The 6194-nt window shown below is 37.8% G+C and overlaps 1 annotated feature.

Annotated features, from left to right (window-relative positions):
• Positions 4057–4196: an enhancer, noted in NCBI's record as "active region_24775". NCBI's record gives its function as "activates an Ori minimal core promoter by ATAC-STARR-seq in GM12878 lymphoblastoid cells {active_cell/tissue: GM12878}" and the evidence as "EXISTENCE:reporter gene assay evidence [ECO:0000049][PMID:35858748]".

The following is a 6194-nucleotide window of genomic DNA, read 5'->3' on the forward strand; positions in this document are numbered from 1 at the left end:
AATCGTGGCTAAAATGTTTTGCTCTTTCAAATATTAGAAAAGCATATGCCCAAGCAAGTGAGAGTCCCTGAAGATGTAAACTTCTTTCGCTTCACAGAAAATCTACCTCTGCACAGAGGAATTAGCCCCATAGGATCCTGAGGATGAAGGTGAGTTCCTGCCCTCCCATGCTTACAGAAAGAGCTATTTTAGGCAGAAGCACTGTATACTATAAGAACTTATATAACAAAAATAATATCAGCATTATTACTGAAGTCCATTTTGTCCAAGCATGAAGCAATCTCAGGCAGAAATCACAATATCAGGCTCTTTGGAGAATGGAGAAGAAACTGGAACTGTCCACATCTTGAACTATGAAGAACCTGGTTCTTTCCTGTCCCCTCCCTCAGCTCTGCCCAAAGTGACCTGAAGAAGCAATTGTCTTTAATCTTATCTAGTTCAATAATTTTAATTGATTCTCTGAATCCAAACTCTACTCTGTCACTAACTAGCTGTGTGAGCTGGGACAAATTAGCCTAAGCGTTTGTATTCTCATACATAAAATGGCAAAAATATTTTATTTGCATAACTGTGAAAAAGATTAAATGGATAGTGTATGTACATTACCTGGCACCTAGTAGATAACTAAGATATTGTAGCCATTTTATTATTGTTCACATTTCAAGTGATAACTATAAGGGAGGAACTAGAAAGGGAATATTGAACAGCCAGGACTCCAGATTACCAAACACAGCATGGAAGATCAAACTCCATAAATGCTAAAAGGGATTATTTCAGTTTCAACTTTTTTACTTGCTCCCAGAGCCCAATGGCAACACAATGAAAGTGGCCGTGGCAACATGACAGCCACAGTACTCTATGAACAGAGTGTATCAATAAACATGATGCTTTTAGGAGGCCACAAGAATTCCTGTCTGGCTCAGGTGTTCCTCCTGGTGTAGGATCTATCTCTGACGTTGCATGAGATTTGGGAAATTTTCTTGTCTCAGATTTTGATAGTTTGATATTTGAACAGAAAACAGCAAGTTGCCCCTGGTAATGGTTGCAAGTGACTGGCACTAAGCACCTGGCAGGTAGTAATGACTCTGTAAAAGATTTCTGAATTCATCTAAAGTGATCTGTCCTCAGAGGCCCTGTACACTGCTGCCTGGGCAAGGCACAGGCTCTGAGTAACCTGAGACATCAGGCAATTTGAGGCATCAGAGCATTGTCATTAGTATTGGCTCTGAAGTCAGATCAGGCCCGGCCCCAAATTCCAGCTCTAGCATTTACCATATTTACAACCTTGGGCAAGCTGCTTAAATCATCTGTGACTCAGTTCCTTCATTATAAAGCAAGGATAATAAAGTATCTACCTAATAAGGTTTTAGTGAGTATTAAATGAGGTAACATTTCTGAAGGGCTTTAGAACAGTGCCTAAAGCCCTTCATTGCAAGTGCTCAGTAATGGCTAGCTCTAATGTTAAAGGGGAAAGCTGGTAGGGATGTCCAGCAGGTGTTTGGTTATGTGGATCTGGCACTCAGAAAAAAAAGATAGTAATTAAAGCCACAGGTTTTATATTTTCTAGTTTTATTCCTTTCTTGTGGTGCCTGTAACAAGTTACCACAAACTTGGGTTGAAAATAACAGATTATTTTCTTACAGTTCTGGAGGCCAAAAGCCCAAAATCGGTATCATGGGGCCAAAATCATGGTGTTGGCAAGCACCCTCCCTCTGGAGATGTTAGGGGAGATTCCATTTCTTGCCTCTTCCAGTTTCTGGTGGCTGATGGCATTTCTTGAATCATGACAGCATTGTTGCAATCACTGCCTCTGTGGTTACATTGCCTTCTCCCCTCCTGTCTGTATCAAATCTCCCTCACTCTTCTTCTTATAAAGACACTGAATCATGGCATTCAGGGCCTACCTGGATAACCCAGGATAATGCAGAGTAATCCCTCCATCTGAAGAGCATTAACTTAATTACAAAGATGCCCACCCCAGCAAATAAACTAGCATCTATAGATTCCAAGGATTAGGATCTGATATCATTGGAAGCCACTTAATCAGTCTACTATACTAATTAATACACGATACTGCAAGACATAGGTGAAGATGAAATTATGTGAAGAGAAGACTAAATACAGAACACCGAACCATAAACACATAACAGGGAAGCAAAGAAGAGATACCACAGGGAAATGAGAAGGAAAGGGGGGCTAGAGGAGAAGATGAGGTGAAAGGGGGTTGTCTGAGACTTCAAGGACGTAGTTTCACAAAGGATGGCATCCTGGAAACACTTCAAAGAATCAAGGTAGGGGGCTGAGGAGGGATTATGGGGTTTGACTATTAAGAAGAACATCAGTAAATTTAGCCACAGTGAATGTATTGGCATGGGAGAAAGAGAGCAAATTGTGATAGATTGAGGATGGAGTCACTTACCTCTGTGATACACTTTGTACATAGGCATAGTTGTAAGAGGAAAATGGTGCAGACATTCATCTTGACAAGCCACCCTCTGAGACCTTACTCTCAACTGTGTTTTCTTTGGATTCCCAACAATAAAATCCCGTGAAAGGCCCTGAACTTGCCAAGGTGGACATGATCTATGATTAGAAGAGGAAGGCACTGCCTCCTTCCCATAGAAATATGTTTGCTCTCCAGCTCCTGAGAGAGGTCAATGAAAAAGTTATATTTATCTTCATGATTTACTCAGCCCACCCTCTCTCTCAAAGGTATTATTAATGCCTAGACTAGTCAAGTGGTGATGTTTCTAATCATTATACTCTTTTACCCTTTTTCAGTATCTTAAAAAAGGACTCTAAATATTGAAGTAGTTTACATTTTTTCTAATAGTGAAACATTATTAGTCACTCAAAAATTATTATAGAAAATAAACCATGTGCTAGAAAGTATATTAGAGATAATATGAAATTAAAATATTAATAGCTAATATTTAAGTATCTTGTATGGGACAGGCACTGATCTAAGTGCTTTGTATATCAATTTATTTCAAAAATTTGGTGACAGAGGAGGTACTAATATTACACTGTTATTATCATCCCAACTTTATAGAAGAGTGAACAGAGGTGCAAAGATAAGGGAAAAACACACAGCTAGGAATCAGGAAGCAAGGATTAACTCAGCAGTCACTCTCTGGGCCTATTCTAACCACTGTGGCATTCATTTTTACAGCATTTGCAAGAAGACATCTCTAACATACTCTTTTTAGGCAGAAGCATACAAATAAGCATTATTTTAAAGTGACTTGACAAAAACCAGTTTTTGCATTTAAAAAATCTTGTAATACTGGAAATATTTGTTACTCAGAACATATTGACTGAGTACCTAGTAATTTACTAGGCACTCTTCTAGAAACTGAACTTTCAAAAATGAACAAAATGGACACAAACTCCTGCCCTCATGTTCAAATAAGGCATCTCCATCTTTAAATGTCATGCAATAATAACACCACCACCATACTTGCAGAGCCAAGAAGAAGCCAACTCTTCCCTCACTGTATAAGAGAACAGCATTGAATCATTACAAGCAAAATTACAGCAGAAACTACTGTTACTGACTATTGACATCATGCTTCTGGGGGAATGCTGGCCTTAATACCTAGGTGGTGAGTTGACAGGTGTAGCAAACCACCATGGCACATGTTTACCTGTGTGACAAACCTGCATATCCTACATGTGTATCCTAGAATTTAAAGTAAAATAAAATAATAAAATAAAAATTTTAAAAAGAAATTACAGAAAAAAATGGAAAATCGTATATGGAGGATCTTTTTCTTGAAGCTCACTGACCTTTCGAGCATCTAAATCAATAATCCTGGTTCGAAGAAGCACTGTTTTCTTGATATTAAACAAAGTGTGTGACATTTCTGGGTCTGTTCCCTGAAAATGGTATTGCCTGAAAAAATACTAAAATTAAATAAATAAGTAATAAATAAATAAAGCTGATTTGGGTTTAGGGGGAAAATGGTATTGCCTGTACCTGACATCTAATATCATTTTCCATCTGGCTTTATGTGACCCTAAGTAACAAATATCAGGGGTTAAGAGGAAGTCTTAGAGCTCCAACACGTTCTACTTTCCACTCACCCACAGTTAAGAATCTAAGAGAAATCCCCAAACCTCAATGACTCAGAATAAGACAGCCCTGTCCAGGCCTCTGCAGCAGGGCAAATGGAGCCCCAGGGCTCTGCAGTGTTCTTCATTCCACAACCTATGACACCCTCTTCACATCAAAATTTATCACTGAAACACATTTGCCCCTTTATCCCAGAGGAAGATTCAAGGCTCCCGGTGCATTCCTCATTACCAAGTATAGTTGCCAGATAAAATATAGGATGACTGATCAAATTTAACTGGACACCCTGTATTTTTATTTGCTAATTCTGGAAACTCTAGCCCAGGCCTCTCAACCCTTTAGATGAAAATGCCACCATATCCAGGAAGACTTTCCAGACCACCCAGCCTGTTTTTTTAACTTGCAACCTTTCCTCCCTCAACATTTCCTATCTTACTCCTGGGTTAATTCTCCCCATAGCATTTATTGTCACCTGTCATAGGATACATTTTATTTTATTGTATTTTTTTTTATTCTCTGATCTTTCCTCCTCCCGCCAAGATTAAAGGCCCTCAAGACTATGAGTATTTATCTACTTTGTTCATGCTATGTCTCCAGTGCCTACAATACTGCCTGGCACAGAGTAAGTGTTAGATAAATATTTGTGAATCAGTTTGTTAAATTAAGTATCTATTTCTTTGATGTCAAAAATGATATTAGAATTGTGATAAATATCATAGGTGAGTTGAATAATAATAATGAATACAAATAGATCATATTTATGGTGTACATATATGCCTGGCAATATGCTAAACAGTTTACCTAGATTAACTCATTTAATACAAAACAAAAAACAAAAAACCATTTCATACTCACAAAAAACTGTCATCTTCATTTTACAGCTGAAGCAACTGATACAGAGAAAAATAAGAAACTTGCTCAAGGTCACATAGGGTAGCTTCAAGATTCAAACCCAGCTGCCTGACTCTAGAGAGTGAGTTCTTTCCTTAAAAATAATGTTTTTACCTGGGAGACAGAAATGTGAAAAGTGGATTAAATACTTACACAAATGATTGAAGGCTTTTGAATGAATAAATTACTTCACCTGGCAAAAAAAAACAAAACTGTGTTTAATGGATCCCCATATGTGAAATAGAACCTGGATGTGGACAAGTTAAGACATTGTTACGTAACAGATTAGAGTCATGTTAATACACCATTGGGTTGGAAGGGAGGCTGAGAAGGTGGGTTCATGGCTGCTAATATGTTTTTGCTCACTTTGAAGCTCAGAAACTTGACTCCAGTAGGTACCAACATATAACTGGCTCTATATACTGTGTACACAGGTAGTTTCTTCACTTAGGACTTTATAAAGATGGCAAAGGGATTGATAAGTAACAACTGAAGTCACCGTATATTCTGAAATAATAGTGATAATTTATTTTAATAACAATTAACATGAACACAAATATACACAATTCTAGGTAAGGTCTGATTTAAATTTCTAGTTCCTCCTCATTGAGAAAAAGGCTATATTATTACTCTTTGCCACTGACATGAAGGGAATTCCTCTTCTTTTGCCCATTTGGAAAGCCTCTTCTTTCCCCTTCTGTGTTGGATGTTCTCAGCTCACACTGCTCTGTGCTAGGTTCTTTTTCTTATATGAGGATGCTTACTATCATTTTCACATTACTCCTAATACCTGCTAAAACAATGATTCCAAATTTACATGAAGGACTCTCTGTTATTTAAAACTAGTGCACAGTGCCGCTATCAAGACCCAGGATCCCAGCAACAGCCCATATGTAGGAAGCAGTAGCCAGAAGCTGTTACTGATTAACTATTGCTTGCTCTTTTGTGGGCAATGCTTTTGCTGGTCTTCTCTTGGGCATCTAGCCCAAGATCAACAAACAACAGCCAACAGGAAAAATCTAGCCAATAGCCTGTTTTTGTATAGTCCAGGAGCTAGGAAAGGTTTATAGAGAAAAATATTTACAATCCATTAGAGGATATGGAACACCAATGTTAAACATCTGTTAAGTAAAATGTTCTTTTAAAAAAATCGATTCTTCTTAGCAAAATTGTATTGCAGAAAATTGTACTCCATTATATTTTTAATTTCATCAATTAAAATTGTGGA

This window comes from Homo sapiens, chromosome 6 (assembly GCF_000001405.40).
Source record: "Homo sapiens chromosome 6, GRCh38.p14 Primary Assembly".
Lineage (NCBI taxonomy): Eukaryota > Metazoa > Chordata > Mammalia > Primates > Hominidae > Homo > Homo sapiens.